The 20,338-nt window shown below is 41.1% G+C and overlaps 1 long non-coding RNA gene across 1 annotated transcript in view; it reads right to left on the reverse strand.

Annotated features, from left to right (window-relative positions):
• Positions 1-20,338, reverse strand: part of LOC124905982 (uncharacterized) — a 69,911-nt gene that overhangs the window by 39,722 nt on the left and 9,851 nt on the right. The window contains exons 2-3 of the long non-coding RNA XR_007086268.1: positions 18,339-18,461; positions 10,656-13,144 (exon numbers count right to left, since the gene is read on the reverse strand). This is a non-coding gene — a long non-coding RNA (uncharacterized LOC124905982). The remainder of the gene's footprint in view (positions 1-10,655; positions 13,145-18,338; positions 18,462-20,338) is intronic.

Raw genomic sequence — 20,338 nt, forward strand, 5'->3', positions numbered from 1 at the left:
AAAGATGGGGAGAAACCAGAGCAGAAAAGCTGAAAATTCTAAAAATCAGAGCGCCTCTTCTCCTCCAAAGCAGCGCAGCTCCTCTCCAGCAATGGAACAAAGCTGGACAGAGAATGACTTTGATGAGTTGAGAGAAGAAGGCTTCAGACGATCAAACTTCTCCGAGCTAAAGGAGGATGTTAGAACCCATTGCAAAGAAGCTAAAAACCTTGAAAAAAGATTAGATGAATGGCTAACTAGAATAACCAGTGTAGAGAAGACCTTAAATGAACTGAAGTAGAAGAAAATCATGGCACAAGTACTACGTGATGCATGCACAAGCTTCAGTAGCCGATTAGATCAACTGGAAGAAAGGGTATCAGTGATGGAAGATCAAATGAACGAAATGAAGTGAGAAGACAAGCTTAGAGAAAAAAGAGTAAAAAGAAATGAACAAAGCCTCCAAGACATATGGGACTAAGTGAAAAGACCAAATCTACATCTGATTGGTGTACCTGAAAGTGACGGGGAGAATGGAACCAAGTTGGAAAACACTCTGCAGGATATTATCCAGGAGAACTTCCACAACCTAGCAAGGCAGGACAACATTCAAATTCAGGAAATACAGAGAACACCACAAAGATACTCCTCAAGAAGAGCAACTCCAAGACACATAATTGTCAGATTCACCAAAGTTGAAATGAAGGAAAAAATGTTAAGGGCAGCCAGAGAGAAAGGTCAGGTTACCCACAAAGGGAAGCCCATCAGACTAACAGCGGATCTATCAGCAGAAACTCTACAAGCCAGAAGAGAGTGGGGGCCAATAGTCAACATTCTTAAATAAAAGAATTTTCAACCCAGAATTTCATATCCAGCCAAACTAAGCCTCATAAGTGAAGGAGAAATAAAATACTTTACAGACAAGCAAATGCTGAGAGATTTGCTTGCCTTACCACCAGGCCTGCCTTACAAGAGCTCCTGAAGGAAGCATGGAAAGGCACAACTTATACCAGCCACTGCAAAAACATGCCAAATTGTAAAGACCATCAATGCTAGGAAGAAACTACATCAACTAATGAGCAAAATAACCATCTAACATCATAATGACAGGATCAAATTCACACATAACAATATTAACCTTACATGTAAATGTGCTAAATGCTCCAATTAAAAGATAAAGACTGGCAAATTGGATAAAGAGTCAAGACCCATCAGTGTGCTGTATTCAGGAGACCCATCTCTCATGCAGAAAAACACATAGGCTCAAAATAAAGGGATGGAGGAAGATCTACCAAGCAAATGGAAAACAAAAAAAAGCAGGGGTTGCAATCCTAGTCTCTGATAAAACACTTTAAACCAACAAAGATCAAAAGAGACAAAGAAGGCCATTACATAATGGTAAAGGAATCAATTCAACAAGAAGAGCTAGCTATCCTAAATATATATGCACCCAATACAGGAGCACCCAGATTCATAAAGCAAGTCCTTAGAGACCTACAAAGAGACTTAGACTCCCACACAATAATAATGGGAGACTTTAACACCCCACTGTCAACATTAGACAGATCAACGAGACAGAAAGTTAACAAGGATATCCAGGTATTGAACTCAGCTCTGCACCAAGCGGACCTAATAGACATCTACAGAACTCTCCACCCCAAATCAACAGAATATACATTCTTCTCAGCACCACATCACACTTATTCCAAAATTCACCACATAGTTGGAAATAAAGCACTCCTCAGCAAATGTAAAAGAATAGAAATTACAACAAACTGTCTATCAGACCACAGTGCAATCAAACTAGAACTCAGGATTAAGAAATTCACTCAAAACCACTCAACTACATGGAAACTGAACAACCTGCTCCTGAATGACTACTGGGTACATAACGAAATGAAGGCAGAAATCACATGGACACAGGAAGGGGAACATCACACACCGGGGCCTGTTGTGGGGTGAGGGGAGGGAGGAGGGATAGCATTAGGAGATATACCTAAGGTTAAATGACGAGTTAATGGGTGCAGCACACCAACATGGCACACGTATACATATGTAACTAACCAGCACGTTGGGCACATGTACCGTAAAACTTAAAAGTATTAAAAAAAAAAAATGTTCTTTGAAACCAATGAGAACAAAGACACAACATACCAGAATCTCTGGGACACATTCAAAGCAGTGTGTAGAGGGAAATTTATAGCACTAAATGCCCACAAGAGAAAGCAGGAAAGATCTAAAATTGACACCCTAACATCACAATTAAAAGTACTAGAGAAGCAAGAGCAAACATATTCAAAAGCTACCAGAAGGCAAGAAATTACTAAGATCAGAGCAGAACTGAAGGAGCTAGAGACACAAAAAAACCCTTCAACAAATCAATGAATCCAGGAGTTGATTTTTTGAAAAGATCAGCAAAATTGTTAGACCACTAGCAAGACTAATAAAAAAGGAAAAGAGAGAAGAATCAAATAGATGCAATAAAAAATGATAAAGGGGATATCACCACCGATCCCACAGAAATACAAACTACCATCAGAGAATACTATAAACACTTCTACACAAATAAACTAGAAAATCTAGAAGAAATGGATAAATTCCTTGACACATACACCCTCCCAAGACTAAACCAGGAAGAAGTTGAATCTCCTAATAGACTAATACCAGGCTCTGAAATTGAGGCAATAATTAATAGCCTACCAACCAAAAAAAGTCCAGGACCAGATGGATTCACAGCCGAATTCTACCAGATGTACAAAGAGGAGCTGCTACCATTCCTTCTGAAACTATTCCAATCAATAGAAAAAGAGGGAATCCTCCCTAACTCATTTTATGAGGCCAGCATCATCCTGATACCAAAGCCAGGCAGAGACACAACAAAAAAAGAGAATTTTAGACCAATATCCCTGATGAACATCGATGCAAAAATCCTCAATAAAATACTGGCAAACCGAATCCAGCAGCACATCAAAAAGCTTATCCACCACGATCAAATGAGCTTCATCCCTGGGATGCAAGCCTGGTTCAACGTATGCAAATCAATAAATGTAATCCAGCATATAAACAGAACCAAAGACAAAAACCACATGATTATCTCAATAGATGCAGAAAAGGCCTTTGACAAAATTCAACAGCCCTTCATGCTAAAAACTCTCAATAAATTAGGTATTGATGGGACGTATCTGAAAATAATAAGAGCTATCTATGACAAACCCACAGCCAATATCATACTGAATGGGCAAAAACTGGAAGCATTCCCTTTGAAAACTGGCACAACACAGGGATGCCCTCTCTCACCACTCCTATTCAACATAGTGTTGGAAGTTCTGGCCAGGGCAATCAGGCAGGAGAAAGAAATAAAGGGTATTCAGTTAGGAAAAGAGGAAGTCAAATTGCCCCTGTTTGCAGATGACATGATTGTATATCTAGAAAACCCCATTGTCTCAGCCCAAAATCTCCTTCAGCTGATAAGCAACTTCAGCAATACAAAATCAATGTGCAAAAATCACAAGCATTCTTATACACCAATAACAGACAAACAGAGAGCCAAATCATGAGTGAACTCCCATTTACAATTTCTTCAAAGAGAATAAAATAACTAGGAATCCAACTTACAAGGGATGTGAAGGACCTCTTCAAGGAGAACTACAAACCACTGCTCAATGAAATAAAAGAGGACACAAACAAATGGAAGAACATTCCATGCTCATGGATAGGAAGAATCAATATCGTGAAAGTGGCCATACTGCCCAAGGTAATTTATAGATTCAATGCCATCCCCATCAAGCTACAAATGACTTTCTTCAAATAATTGGAAAAAACTACTTTAAAGTTCATATGGAACCAAAAAAAAGCTTGCATTGCCAAGTCTATCCTAAGCCAAAAGAACAAAGCTGGAGGCATCACACTACCTGACTTCAAACTATACTACAAGGCTACAGTAACCAAAACAGCATGGTACTGGTACCAAAACAGAGATATAGATAAATGGAACAGAACAGAGCCCTCAGAAATAATACCACACATCTGCAACTATCTGATCTTTGACAAACCTGACAAGAACAAGAAATGGGGAAAGGATTCCCTATTTAATAAATGGTGCTGGCAAAACTGGCTAGCCATATGTAGAAAGCTGAAACTGGATCCCTTCCTTACACCTTATACAAAAATTAATTCAAGATGGATTAAAGACTTAAATGTTAGACCTAAAACCATAAAAACCCTAGAAGAAAACCTAGGCAATACCATTCAGGACATAGGCATGGGCAAGGACTTCATGTCTAAAACACCAAAAGCAATGGCAACAAAAGCCAAAATTGACAAATGGGATCTAATTAAACTAAAGAGCTTCTGCACAGCAAAAGAAACTACCATCAGAGTGAACAGGCAACCTACAGAATGGGAGAAAATTTTTGCAATCTACTCATCTGACAAAGGGCTAATATCCAGAATCTACAAAGAACTTAAAAAAATTTACAAGAAAAAAACAAACAACCCCATCAACAAGTGGGTGAAGGATATGAACAGACACTTCTCAAAAGAAGACATTTATGCAGCCAACAGACACATGAAAAAATGATCATCATCACTGGCAATCAGAGAAATGCAAATCAAAACCACAATGAGATACCATCTCACACCTGTTAGAATGGCGATCATTAAAAAGTCAGGAAACAACAGGTGCTGGAGAGGATGTGGAGAAATAGGAACACTTTTACACTGTTGGTGGGACTGTAAACTAGTTCAACCATTGTGGAAGACAGTGTGGCGATTCCTCAGGGATGTGGAACTAGAAATACCATTTGACCCCGCAATTCCATTACTGGGTATATACCTAAAGGAATATAAATCATGCTGCTACAAAGACACATGCACACGTATGTTTACTGTGGCACTACTCACAATAGCAAAGACTTGCAACCAACCCAAATGTCCAACAATGATAGACTGGATTAAGAAAATGTGGCACATATACGCCATGGAATACTATGCAGCCATAAAAAATGAGTTCATGTTCTTTGTAGGGACATGGATGAAGCTGGAAACCATCATTCTCAGCAAACTATCGCAAGGACAAAAAAACCAAACACCGCATGTTCTCACTCATAGGTGGGAATTGAACAATGAGAACACTTGGACACAGGAAGGGGAACATCACACACTGGGGCTTGTTGTGGGGTGGGGGGAATGGGGAGGGATAGCATTAGGAGATACACCTAATGTAAATGACGAGTTAACGGGTGCGGCACACCAACATGGCACATGTATACATATGTAACAAACCTGCACGTTGTGCACATATACCCTAGAACTTAAAGTATAGTTTAAAATATATATATATATATATAAAAGATAATCAATGAACAAACATTGGACTTAATCTGCACTACACACAAAATGGACCTAACAGATATTTACAGAACAATTCATCCAATGACTGCAGAATACATTCTTCTCCTCAGCACATGAATCATTCTCAAGGACAGACCATACATTAGGTTACAAAACAAGTCTCAAACTATTTTTAAAAATTGAAATCAGACCAAATATCTTATCTGAACATAATAGAATAAAACTAGAAATCAGTAACAAGAGGAACTTTGGAAACTATAAAAACACATGGTAATTAAACAATATGCTTGCTCCTGAATGACAAGTGAGTCAATGAAGAAATTAATAAGGAAATTTAAAAATTTCTTGAAACAAATGAAAATGGAAACACAATATACCAAAACCTATGGGATACAGCAAAAGCAGTACTAAGTGGAAAGTTTATAGCAATAAGTACCTATATCAGAAGAGGAGAAAAACTTCAAATAAATAACCTAATTGTGCATCTTGAGGAAGTAGAAAAGCAAGAGCAAACCAAACCCAAAATTAGTAGAAGAAATAATAAAGATCAGAGCAAAAATAAATGAAATTGAAATAAAAAGTACAAAAGATCAACTAAATGAAAAGTTAGTTTTTTTAAAAGATAAAATTGACAAACCTTTAGCCAGGCTGAGAATAAAGAGAGTATACCCAAGTAAATAAATTCAAAGATGAAAAAGGAGACAATACAACATTACAACTGATACCACAGAAAATCAAAGGATTATTAGAGACTACTATGAGTAACTATATGCCAATAAATCATTAAATCTAGAAGAAATGGATAAATTCCTAAACACATGCAACCTACCAAGATTAAACGATGAAGAAATTCAAAACCTAAATAGACCAACAACAGGTAACAGATCAAAGCCACAATAAAAAGTCTCCCAGCAAAGAAAAGCCCCAGACTCAATGGCTTCCCTGCTGAATTTTACCAAACCACTTAAGGAAGAACTAAACCAATTCTACTCAAATTATTCTGAATAATAGATGGGGAAGGAACGCTTCAAAACTCATTCTATGAGGTCAGTATTACCCTGATACTAAAACCAGACAAAGACACATCAAAAAAAGAAAACTACAGACCAATATCCCTGATGAACACTGATGCAAAAATTCTCAACAAAATGCTAGCAAACCGAATTCAACAACATATTAAAAAGGTCATTTGTCATGATCAAGTGGGATTTATCCCAGAGATGCAAGGATGGCTCAACATATGCAAATCAATCACTGTGATATATTGTATCAACAGATTGAAGAGCAAAAACCATATGACCATTTCAACTGATGCTGAAAAAGCATGTAATAAAATTCAGCATCCTCTCATGATAAAAATCCTCAAAAAACTGGGTATAGTAGGAACATACCTCAACACAATAAAAGCCAGAAAAAAGACTCACTTAAAGTGAATGAGTCTGTTCAGATTTACCTGTTTCTAAAACGAAGACCTGCAGCTAGTATCATACTGAATGAAGAAAAACCTTTCCTCTAATATCTGGAACAAGACAAGGATGCCCATTTTCACCACTGTTTATTTAACATAGTGCTGGACGTCCTAGCTAGAGAAAAAAAATAAAGAGCATCCAAATTGGAAAGTAAAAAGCCAAATTATCCTTGTTGGCAGATAGTATGATCTTACATCTAGAAAAAACTAAAAATTCTACTATAAATCATTAGAACTGATAAACAAATTTGGTAAAGTTACAGGATACAAAATCAACATATAAAAACCAGCAGCATTTCTACATGCCAACAGTGAAGAATCTGAAAAAGAAATCAAGAAAGTAATCCCATTTACAATAGCTATGAACAAAATAAAATACCTAGGAATAAACTTAATCAAAGAAGTGAAAGATGTCTACAATGAAAACCATAAAACACTGATGCAAGGAATTGTAGAAGACACAAAAGAATGAAAAGATATTCCATGTTCATGGATGAGAAGAAATAATATTCTTTAAGTGTTCGCACTACCCAAAGCAATCTACAGATTCAAAGCAATGCCTATCCAAATATTAATGACATTCTTTACAAAAATAGAAAAAATAATCCTAAAATATATATGGAAATACAAAAGACCCAGAATTGCCAAAGCCATCCTGAGCAAAAATAACAAAACTGGAGGAGTCACATTACTTGACTTCAAATGATACTACAGAGCCACTGTAACCAAAACCCAGCATGGTACTAGCATAAAAACAGACACAGAGACCAATGAAACATAACAGAGAACCCAGAAATAAATCCATACATCTACAGTGAATTAATTTTTTACAAACATACCGAGAATCTACACTGGGGAAAGCACAGTCTCGTCAGTAAATAATGCCGGGAAAACCGGATATCCATATGCAGAAGAATGAAACTAGACTACCTCTCATCATATACAAAAATCAAATCAAAATGGATTAAATACTTAAATCTGCAATCTCAAACTATAAAATTACTAAAAGAAAACATTGGGTAAGCTCTCCAGGACATTGGTATGGGTATAGATTTCTTGAGTAATACCCCATAAGCACAGGCAAGCAAAGCAAAAATGGACAAAGGAGATCACATTAAGTTAAAAAGCTTCTGCACAGCAAAGGAAGAAAACAACAAAATGAAGAGACAACCCACAGAATGGGACAAAATATTTGCAAACTATCCATCTGACAAAAGATTAATAACCAAAATATGTATTTTGGTTGGAACTCAATTCAACAGGAAAAAAATCTCATAATCTGATTAAGACACGGGTAAAATATCTGAATAGACATTTCTTCCTTTCTTTCTTTTTTTGAGATGAAGTCCTGCTCTGTCACCCAGGCTGGAGTGCCGTGGCGCAATCTCGGCTCACTGCAGCCTCTGCCTCCTGAGTTCAAGCGATTCTCCTGCCTCAGTCTCCTGAGTAGCTGGGAAGCTGGGATTACAGGCACCTGCCACCACACTCAGCTAATTTTTGTATTTTTAGTAGAGATGGGGTTTCACCATGTTGGCCAGGCTGGTCTTGAACTCCTGACTTCAGGTGATCCACCCACCTCAGCCTCCCAAATTGCTGGGATTACAGCTGTGAGCCACTGTGCCTGATGACATTTCTTAAAGGAAGACATATAGATGGCAAACAGACATATGAAAAGGTGCCCAACATCATTGATCATCAGAGAAATGCAAATCAAAACTACAATGAGATACCATCTCCCTCCAGTTGAAATGGCTTTTGTCCAAAAGACAGGTAATAATGAATCTGGGAAGGATATGGAAAAAAGGAGACCCTCATACACTGTTGGTCAGAAGGTAAATTAGTACAGCCACTATGGAGAACAGTATGGAGGTTCCTCAAAGAACTAAACATAGAATTACCATATGATTCAGCAATCCCACTGCTAAGTATATACCCCAAAGAAAGGAAATCAGTATATTGAAGAGACATCTGCACTCCCATATTTATCACAGTGTCAGGATTTGGAAGCAACCTAAGTGTCCATATCAATAGATGAATGAAGAAAATGTGGTACATATGCACAACGGAGTACTATTCAGCCATAAAAAAGAATGATATTCTGTCATTTGCAACAACATGGATGGGACTGGAGGACATTATGTTATGTGAAATAAGCCAGATATAGGAAGACAAACTTCACATGTTCTCACTTATTTGTGGGAGCTAAAAATTAAAACAAATGAACTCAAGGAGCTAGAGAGTAGAGTGCTGGTTATCAGAGGCTGGGAAGGGAAGTTGGGGGGGAATGGGGGTGGTTAATGGGTACAAAACTATAGTTATATAGAATGAATAAGATCTAGTATTTGATAGCACAACAAGGTGATTACAGGCAACAATTTATTGTGTCTTTAAAAATAACTAAAGGAGTATAATTTAATGTTTATAAGCAAAGACATGATAAATGCTTGAGGTGATGGATACCCCATTTATCCTGATGTGATTCTTACACATTGCATGCCTGTATCAAAAGAGCTCATGTACCCCATAGATATATACACCTACTATATACCAACAAAAAATTTTTAAAAAGAAAAGAAAAACCGACATTAAAAGACTCACTTAAAGTGAATGGGTCTGTTCAGACCTACCTGTTTCTAAAAGGAAGTGACCCTGTGTCGCCCTCTAAACTTTTTTTTTTTTTGAGAGAGTGTCTCATTTTGTCACCCAGGCTGGAGTGCACTGGTGCGATCTCAGCTCACTGCAATCTGCATCTCCTGGGTTCAAGATATTCTCATGCCTCAGCCTCCCAAGTAGCTGGGATTACAGGTGCACACCACCATACCCAACTAATTTTTGTACTTTAGTAGAGATGGGGTTTCACTATGTTGGCCAGGCTGGTCTTGAACTCCTGACCTTCAGTGATCCACCCGCTTCAGCCTACCAAAGTGCTGGGATTACAGACGTGAGCCACCGCACCTGGCCTCCCTCTTTTTTTTTTTTTTTGAGACGGAGTCTTGCTCTGTCGCCCAGGCTGGAGTGCAGTGGTGTGATCTCGGCTCACTGCAAGCTCTGCCTCCCAGGTTCACACCATTCTCCTGCCTCAGCCTCCCAAGTAGCTGGGACTACAGGCGCCCGCCACCACGCCTGGCTAATTTTTTTTTTTTTTGTATTTTTAGTAGAGACGGGGTTTCACCGTGTTAGCCAGGATGGTCTCCATCTCCTGACCTCGTGATCCGCCCCTCTCGGCCTCCCAAAGTGCTGGGATTACAGGCATGAGCCACCGCACCTGGCCTCCCTCTGAACTTCTAAAGCACACTACTTTGGGACCCATCATGTTTCACATTTAACTTGGGCACAAACCAACAGTAGAAAGAAGTCTCAACTTTCCCCACAGATTTCCAAGGGGGCTCTGTGAACTAGGCTGCCCCAGGTCTTGGCAGCCAGGCCAGCCGCACGACGCTTTCCCGACTCAGACTGACAGAACAAACACGTGAACAGACACACAAAGCAAGTGCCTCTTTAAAGCATTTTAGAGAAGCGAGTGTAATCATACAGGAAAGAATAGGGGTCCACCAGGTGAGGAAAAGGAAGAGAAGAGAACGCTAAACAGAATAAGGAGTATGAGTATGAACAAAAATTCAAAATGCTCCAGGAAGAGATAAACGTTTCTGATTTTGAAACAGAGAACGTTGCAGGGGCAGACGGCAGTGGTAACACTGAAATAAATGTAGGTCAACCCAGATTGTAAAGGATCTTATGTGAGTCTGGGCTTCAGTAAGGGAAATTAAAAGGTAAGTGGATTTTTAAGGTGAGTTGTTGCAAGAACAGAAAATTTATTTTTGATCATTCCATCATAACTTCCCCATGGTTTTCCTACCTAGCAGCATTTGAAGAACGCCTGTGCGTGGAATCAGCCAGAGAGACAGCAAGAGAACCCCATCTCTGACAATGGCCTGGATCACCTATCTCTTCAAAGCAGAGTGGAACCAGGCCAGGAGGGAGGTGTCCCAGGGTGAGCATGCACAGGAGGGAGTCTGCAGAGCCAAATGCTGTGAAGCTCCTGCCTTTTGGGCCCAGAGACTTCTGAGACTCGTGCTCTCCCTCTGTGCTTTCAACTTATAAAACCTGCTGTTTTGATCTGAAAGAAAAAAAAAAGGGATTCAGCTGCTAGGTTAATGCTGTTGGCTAAGTATTTCAGAGACACTTCATGACTTACACATGAGCAGAGAATGGGCCCGGGAAGCAGCAGCTGTGGGAATCAAGGCTGTCCACTGAACCTGTATGAAGCACAATGTTCTTATCTATAAGACGGGAGAAGTAAGCCCTGTCCCACATTGCTTCCCAAGGAGGGGACAAAGGAGGCTGTTCAAGGCAAGTCTCTTCACCAGACATCTGTTGTCACATTCATGATGCTGAACAAAACCCTCAAAACCACAGTGGCATCCAAGAGGACTCACTGAATTAGCTCATGAGACTGGGCTTCAGCTGATCTGAGCTTGGCTGCTCCTAACTCTACTTGCACATGTGATTGTGCTCAGCTGCAGGTCAACTAATTGTGTCTGCTGATACGGGCTGGGCTCGCGTGCATGCCTGGAAGTGAGCTACCTATCTATTGCTGACCTAGGATGGCCATTGGCTGGAACAATGGGATGCCTTGGTTCTATTCCATGGGCATGTTTTCTAATGGCGAAATATAGGGCAAGGATGAGTGGAAACACACAAGTGCTTTTTTAGCCTCTGCAATGGCACATCTCCTAACATCCCATTGGCTAAAACAAATCACATGGTTAAGCCCAGCAACAGAGTGAGATCGTGTGACAAAGTTACAGTGGCATAAGGTGAGGATCAGAGAGTGGTGAAGAATTGGGCCATTTCTGCCATCTACCACAGCCTCTATAAACTGTAAACTATGCAAATAAATGTAAGGCAATATTACTATCCAAAGGCAATTTAATCAATGTATGCTTGTTGAATTGATTTACGTGGGCATTGGCCTGTCTCAGACCTGATTACTTTCACAAGTGTTTTCCAATTACCCCATAGTTTTTCATAGCTAGAATAAAACTCCATTTAAAAACTATCTGTAAATTTTTCTTGGACAGCTGAGCTCTCTGCTTTCTCTCCGTCTGATATTATAGTGCAGGGGTGGGAAGTGGGGGATATTCATGGTGATTTTCTGTTTCTATTTAGCTTAAGTCATCAGCGATAACTTTAACTTGGCAGTTTCATCAGGGCTCTTTCTAAATGTGCTGACATTTCAATTAAATGTCAGTGGCATCATTCTGTTTACCAGCTGGAAGATTTGTAATGGGGAATATTGGTAGTGCCAGAGACTAGAGATTTCCATTTGGTAAAATGCCAGCCAATGTTTTTTGTCTCTACTACCCCCTGAGGATCCTTCACACGTGGGTTTTGACAGGCGGATTGGCCCTTCAAGATGTCCCTCATGCTGTAGGTCAGGAATTTTCAAATTGTTCCCTGAAACCCTAATGCGGGTGCTTTTGATGTTAGGTTTTTTTTTTAATTTATTTTTTTGCTTGGAGCTTGGAATGAAACCTCTTCTGCTTTCCAAGTTTAATTAAAGAATAGTCTGAGCTTGCAAGGCAGGCAATTAAAAAGTTATTAATTACAACTACATATATATAGTAGGCTTTTAATTGAAGCAGCAAAAGAAAATCATTATTCAGTTCATAGACTATGGGACTAGGCTGCCTAGGTTTGAAGCCCAGCTCTAGCTTGCTCTGTGACTTTGGGCCACGTATCTAGCTATTTGGGCCTCCCTTTACTCACCTGGGAATAATAGTGTCTCAGAGAGTTATGAATTAAATGAGTTGACATGTTTGAAGCACTCAGAGCAGTGTTGAAATATGATTGTCCATTATTCATGTAATGCAACCAAAATAAAATACAGATAGAAGTCAGATGCTGAAGTGTATGCCAAAAAAATGCAACTGTCATCCACGATCCCTGACTTAATGTTTTCTGTTAAAACAACCTCATTGTCACTGATTGACTTTGTAAAAATTTCTAGTCATTAGAAATTACTTTTTAAATGCATAAAAAGTAATTACCATTTACCTGTTTGATATGTATCAAGTTCCAGATGAGATTTCATTTGAGAGAAAAACATTCTGCTGCTTAAAAAGTTTGAGAGCCACTGTTCTTAGCCATTTTACAGGATTCTAAGTGAAGGGCTTAAGAAAGCAAACTCAGATACTCAGATACTTATCCAGCTTCTATGTGGCCCTGGAGGACAAATTCCCAGGTTGAGTGTTTCAACACAGAGCTGAAGTCTTTCCCCAGTGGTTTCCACCAGCACGTCCAGTTCAACTAAATATTGTAAGAGCATTTGGTGGTAGCAACATCCTGTGGAAATAGTAATTGTCTTGTTTGTTTACCAGAGCTGAAAATGGTCCTTTAAATGGTTGCTAAAGCATGAGAAACCCCAGAGGTGCATGTGGATGTTACCATCATTGCTATTAGGCCTAATTCTAATATTTTGGTTCAGCAGAAGCCATGAATATGGCAGGACTCCAGGGGGAGCCCATGGCAGTAGGTTTCTGCCTCTTCACTCCTGCCACCGTGTGGACAGATTGCTGCAAATCAATAAATAGATATATTTTTAAATTTTATTTATTTATTTATTTATTTTTAGGCAGAGTCTTGTTCTGTTGCCCAGGCTGGAATGCAGTGGTGCAATCAAGGCTCACTGCAGCCTCAACCTCCTGAACCCAAGCAATTCTTCCACCTCAGCCTCCTGAGTAGCTGGGACTGCAGGTGTATGCCACCACACCTGGGTAGTTTTTTTTTTAATTTTTATTTTTGTAGAGACAACTTTTTGCTGTATTGCCCAGGCTGGTCTTGAGTTCCCAGCCTCAAATTATCCTCATGCCTTGGCCTCCCAAAGCGCTGGGCTTACGGGTGTGAGGCACCACATCTGGCCAGCAAATCAGTTTGATTCAAGTTAAGGAAGAAGCTGGTGGATCTGCAAGCTCAAACAGGGCAGTGATTCACCCACTTTTCTGCCAGGGCACTGGAGTGAAGCTGCCCTCATTCTCTCTATGCTTGCAAAAAAGCCCCTAATGCTACTGCCCCTTCATCAAAAGATCATTAGGAGAAACCCAGTAGTGGGGATGCCACCAGCTACCATTATGTTCAGCACAGCTCCCTACACTGAACAGGATCTGCCCCACTTCACAGGTGGGCACATTGAAGTCCCAGTGGCCCAGCTGGGCTTTGAATTAATGGTTTCTGATTCCAGGCCCATTATGTTTTGCACTCTGTCAGCTGCTATCAGGGACGGCTTCAAGGAAGAGCTGTCAAGAACTGGAAACTTTATAAATTAATGTGAAGCTTGATTAATCTACATTATTATTATTTTTGCCCAGGGGGCCTTGGAGAAATAGACTCTATTTTCCTTTAGCTATTCCTACTGTGGGGAGTCAAACATTCCCATGCCATGGGTTCTTACCCCATTTTAGCAGCTTTATATAATACTAACTTAAAGAATAGAACTGCTTTATTCTTAACACTTCCATTGTGGTTGGCCACATAGCTTGGTTTTACTTTTCACTGTAAGGTATGTTGGTGCAATAAACATCTTTGTGTTTAATGCTGAAATACCGTTGTTGGCATACAGGAACATAATTTATTTGTATATATTTTTAAATCACAGCCCTCCTAAAAAAAGCTAAATTCTAAAAACATAGAATACAAACAGTGGGCTTGCTGAGACTCCTCCCCAGGGAGGAGGATTGGTTCAGAGAAGGTCAATACCAAATCATGCAGGGGCTTGAATGACAAGTGCAGGCCTTTTGATTTTTTTGTTTTGTTTTGTTTTCTGGGGAGTAAGGTGTTGCTAAAGAGGAAAGGAAGGTGATGTACAAGCCAAGTGTGGGACTGTAAATCTGAGGTCAAAAGATAGAATTTAATGGCTCAAAGGCCGGGAGCAGTGACCCATGCCTGTAATCCCAGCACTTTGGGAGGCCAAGGTGGGCAGATCACCTGAGGTCAGGAGTTCGAGACCAGCCTGGCTAACATGGTGAAACCCCATTTCTACTAAAAATACAAAAAATTAGCCAGGCGTGGTGGCACACGCCTGTAATCTCAGCTACTCAGGAGGCTGAGGAGGAGAATCGCTTGAACCTGGGAGGTGGAGGTTGCAGCAGTGAGCTGAGATTGTGCCATTGCACTCCAGCCTGGGCAACAAGAGAGAAACTCCATCTCAAAAAAAAAAGTAGAATTTAATGGAGCAGAAATATGAGGCAGGGACAGAAGTCAAGCCTGGCTGCTGTAGCGATTACAGCTCTGTAGGTCTCTGTTTCCTTGTCTGTGAAATAACTAGTAAGCTTAGAGAACAGAAGAGTCTTCTCAGCTTCACAGCCAGATAGACCTCCATATAAATTCTAGTTCAGCTACTTTTCCATCTGTATGATGGGGAGAATTTTACCCACTCCATAGGATCATGGTAATAACTACAATTATGATTATAAAGAACATGCTCCAGTTGTTGGCACATGTTTAAATAAGCAGTAAGTGTTTCATCCCCATCAATTTTATGGCCTGGAAATTGCCTAAGCTCTCTTCCAACTCAGATGTGCCATGGTTCTATTATGTGATGAGAAAACAATTTAGAAGAATGAAGGACTATAAATTAAATTACTAGTTAATAGATTAATGGTTTAGTCTATTTAAAAAAATCATCTCCTGGCAAGAACCCAAAGGAAAATAATAGTTATTAAAGATCCAAACATTTCACTGAGAAAAAATGATGTTGACTAGAGAGATTTTCTTCAGAATGTGTTTAATTCACAACTAGATGCTATCCAAGACTTCTGGGTCAGTTTCTCTCAGCTCCCAGGAGAGGAATGGAATGACATGAGAAATATACCTTGAAATTCTTGGATGATAAAAAAGGATTAAAAATCAATAGTGTTTCTGCTTCAGCTCTTTCAATTTTGTTTTCCTCCCACTTCTGTAGAATTTCACTGAAGAATAAGTGGTGTATTTGAGGGAACCTGGTGTGTTTTACCAAGGGATATAGGAAAGTGTCCCCAGGTGCCATTGCTGAGTGCAAACTTCAGTGCATCAGTGCGTGGCAGAGGTTGCAGTGCTGAGCCTTGGGGAAGGGAAAACACCAGAGCTGTGCTGTCCAATATGGTGGAAATGCAACTCCTTGGTCACACTAGCCATGGTCCAAGTGCTTGTTAGCCATATGCGGCTAGTGGCTACTGTATTGGACTGTGCAGGCATGCAACGTTTCCGTCTTCACAGACAGCTTTGCTGGACAGTGCTGGCCTACAGACTAATTTGCTAATTCAGAATCTGAGTCTCCAAATTTTAGAGAGCACAAAGGGCTCTTTGAAATTGTCTAGTCTTGCCCCCAAACCTGGGATCTGCAGTCTTGCCCTTCTGCACACTGGGATGCAGAAGAACTAAGCTCCAGTCCCACCTCTGCTGTAACTCCTAAATACCTTTTTCTGTCCAGTAAGGATCACAAGCTTTGGTTTACTCACCTATAAAAATGGGTTAAATCATTCGTTTGGTCTGTCTTCTAATTATTTTGTGAATACTAAGTTTAGATTGTGCTGTACATTGTGAACAACAAAGACAGGTTCTGCCACATTTCTAGCAGCATCCCTCAGAGTTGATAGAAACACACCAATGTGCACAGTGCTGCCAGCAAGAACCACCCACATAATATACATTCAGTGCTTTCCACTGGGCCCGGCAAAGAGAAGGTACTTAATGTGCTAACTGGGCTGTCAGAAGCCACTGGGGATAAAAAGCTCCTTTCAGAGAACTCCTTTCAAGTGCTTCCTTCACACTTTGCTGGTCTTTTATACATTTTTACAAGCTGAAAATGGCTTAGAGAATAAACAGAGCAGGGAGATAGAAGCTGTGTGTCCAGGCAATAAGCTGGAAGTACACTCAGTAGATGGGCCCAGGAGATGTGGCTCTAATCCCAGGCCACTCCCTACTCTCACTCTGGCCCAGTGAGGTTCCTGGCTCTGGGAACCAAAGGAGAGAAGCAGCCACGGAGTCTCGCAGTCTGCTCAGGTGAACCTGGAATGTCTATTCTGAAGGGAGAAGCTGGAGGAACTGCCTCCACATTTTATCTTAGCCCTGTAACATCTTAGCCATGCTAGCATCTCATATTTAGACCATGTAGGTGAGGCAGGGGATGGAGCAAGGGAAGTCCAGGAAGGATAGAAGACCCTCCCACAGCCAGAGACCCTGCTACTCAGGCCTCCTGCAGGAGTCAGCATGGTCCGTGGCTCATGAGGACTGTGTTTCATATGCTGGGGCCTGTTTGGCCCTTCTTGCCCATATCGGTGCTGGATGTGTCTCTGTCATGTGCATGCCCAAGGGAGGACACCTCAGTGCTGCAGCCCTGTGCTTCCGGAGCAGGGTTCCGGGCTACAGCAGATTGGATCTGAGTTCCTGTGTCAGCCCTGGCTTTCACTTAGCTGTGTGATCTTAGGCAAGATAACCAACTTTTCAGGTTCATGAAACCGTAAAATGACCATGGTCTCTATTTCTTGTGTGTGTGTGTGTTAATGAGAATCAAATTTTTAAAGCTAAAATGAAAGTGTTTGCACAAATGAAAACCTAGGCAAAAGCATTGATATTTTGAGACTAGAAGGGCTGCAGATAACTGGAAATGCCTAGGGTATTATATCCCATGTGAGAAATCTGCATTTTCAGGACCCTGGAGAAAAAGCAAAGGACTAGGACAGCGCTCTCAAAACTTCCTCTATTGTGAATCTAAAGCTTGCTTTAAACCTCAGCTTCCTCCCCAAGCCATCTGAAACCACAGAATCTCATGGACGGTTAGTTGGGTCCCAACCTTCACCTGCGACCAAATCCCCATGACAGCATCTCTGTGCACAGGTCATGTAGCCTGTGCTTGGACGCCACTGGTGACCGAACTCCTACTGCCTTCTAAATCTACCCATTCTACCTACTGCCTTCTAAATCTACCCATTCTATCTACTGCCTTCTAAATCTACCCATTCTATCTACTGCCTTCTAAATCTACCCATTCTATCTACTGCCTTCTAAATCTACCCATTCTATGCTTTGAGCAGTCCTAGCTGTTCGAGCAGCAGGATGAAAGGGATTCTTTTGAGACCTGTCTCTAATTTATTGTTATTGACTGCCTGGAAGACTAAGTTAAGGTGGATTCTGAGGCTGCATCCAGGGTCAGTGGTAGAGAGTGATTGATTAATGAGTATGTCTGCCATTAGTATCCTAGGGGACTGCTGTGGAACAGGCCCAGCATATCTGCCCTCTAGTGCTAGAGGCTCCTCTTCCTGTGAGTCAGTTCTGCTCCCACTTACTAGTTCTTTTTTTTCCCTATAGCAGCTACTGTTGGTGGTCTTGTCAAATATCAGTTCCCTTTTCTTCCTTCCCAGCAGAGCCCAATATTGCTCAGGTTACCACTGCCACTATTTCCCCATGAGATCTCATCAGAAGCTGACCTGCAGCAACTCCACGTTGGGTCACGATCAGTCTTCACCAACCATAGTTATCCCATCCTCCTAACCACAATGATTACCTCAGAAACGGGCACGTGACCCAGTTCCAGTCAGTCAGATGTGATCAGAGATGTTTGCCGAGAGCTTCAAAGATCTTTCCTCATTCTTTTGAGAGTCATGGAAAGACAATTCTTGCTTCCCTACTGGGAGTGAACAAGAGAATGTGTTACCCTTATGGCTGCTGGCAGTAGCCATAAGCATTCTAGAGTAACCAATTTAGGAAAAAGCCGGTACTATGCACAGTGGAGTAGAGGAACGAAAAGAACCTGAGACCTAGAGTATATCATTGAGTCCCTGAATCAACCATCTACATCTGGACCGCCAGTTATGCAAATTAGTAAATGTTCTAGTTGTTTAAACAAATTAGAGTAGGGTTTTCTGTTGTCTGCAGTAATTGACTCATTTCCCCTTGGGCCATAACAAGTCTAATTCATCTCGGAGTGTCTGTAGATGCCACCCTCTGCTGCCCTGTCTTATCTTCTCCAGGTTCAACTTCTTTGACTCCTTCAACTATTCCTTATATGAAATGCCTGGGAGTAATTCAGTATTTTGGAGGCTCTCTTCTGAGTATATGTAAACTTGTTTTAAGTCAGTTTACATAATACCTGATAACAGTTGCTGTTTTTCACATCTAGGCATCGGGCGAGGCCAGTAGGAAAGCAAGAACCACGTGTGTACCCTGCCATTCTGCGTCCTGACATTGCTGTAGGCACCTGGATGGTCGCATGGGGTTTCTCTTTCTTCAGCTTGGCTGAGGCAGCCTCAGCCTGGCTGCCTCTCTTTCCTGGCTTCTGGGTAAATAACTCATGTTCTCGTCACTGCGCATCACAGATAGAGAGTTTTCAGTGGGGTTCAATGTAATTGCTACTATCTATCACTTTAATAGCCTAATGAAGGTGAGATGTAATTAGAAAGGGTGTCAGTGGAATATGGAGTTTGTTTTACAATTATCTTTACAGCCAGGTGGACCATCAGCACAGAACATTGCCTTTTAAAAGCCTAAGAAACATGTGTCATAAATGTTCATCATTGAATGACTTAAAGGACCTATGGTCAAATTCTACTGTTTTCTTTAACTCCCTTGAATACTGAAGGATTTGTTTGCATTGGGCAATAGGTGGGCTCCAAATAAAGTTGCATAGAAACCAAGTTTTTATATGTCAAATCCTCTTTTGTTATTGACTTACATTAATATTGGCTGGGAGCGGTGGCTCATGCCTGTAATCCCAGCACTTTGAAAGGCAGAGGTGGGGCCGGGCGCGGTGGCTCACGCCTGTAATCCCAGCACTTTGGGAGGCCGAGGCGGGCGGATCACGAGGTCAGGAGATCGAGACCATCCCGGCTAAAAAACGGTGAAACCCCGTCTCTACTAAAAATACAAAAAATTAGCCGGGCGTAGTGGCGGGCGCCTGTAGTCCCAGCTACTTGGGAGGCTGAGGCAGGAGAATGGCGTGAACCCGGGAGGCGGAGCTTGCAGTGAGCCGAGATCCCGCCACTGCACTCCAGCCTGGGCGACAGAGCGAGACTCCGTCTCAAAAAAAAAAAAAAAAAAAAAAAAAAGAAAGGCAGAGGTGGGTACATCACCTGAGGTCAGGAGTTCAAGACCAGCTTGGCCAACATGGCAAAACCCCATCTCTACTAAAAATAGAAAAATTGGCCAGGTGTGGTTGTGGGCACCTGTAATCCCAGCTACCTGGGAGGCTGAGGCAGGAGAATTGCTTGAACCGGAGAGGCGGAGGTTGCAGTGAGCCAAGATCGCACCATTGCATTCCAGCCTGGGCAACAAGAGCAAAACTGCATCAAAAAATAAATAAAGAGAAAGAAAGAAAGGAAGGAAGAAAGAAAGAAGGAAGGAAGGAAGGAAGGAAGGAAGGAAGAAAGAAAAAAGAAAGGAAGGAAGAAAGAAAGACAAATATTGCCATGCTGTTTCTCTTTGCTTGACATCTCCTGAGAATCTCTGGCTGCCCCCTTCTTTGATGACCAGTTAATTATTTCTAAACAAGCATTATAATTGTCCAGG

This window comes from Homo sapiens, chromosome 2, assembly GCF_000001405.40.
Source record: "Homo sapiens chromosome 2, GRCh38.p14 Primary Assembly".
Classification (NCBI taxonomy): Eukaryota; Metazoa; Chordata; class Mammalia; order Primates; family Hominidae; genus Homo; species Homo sapiens.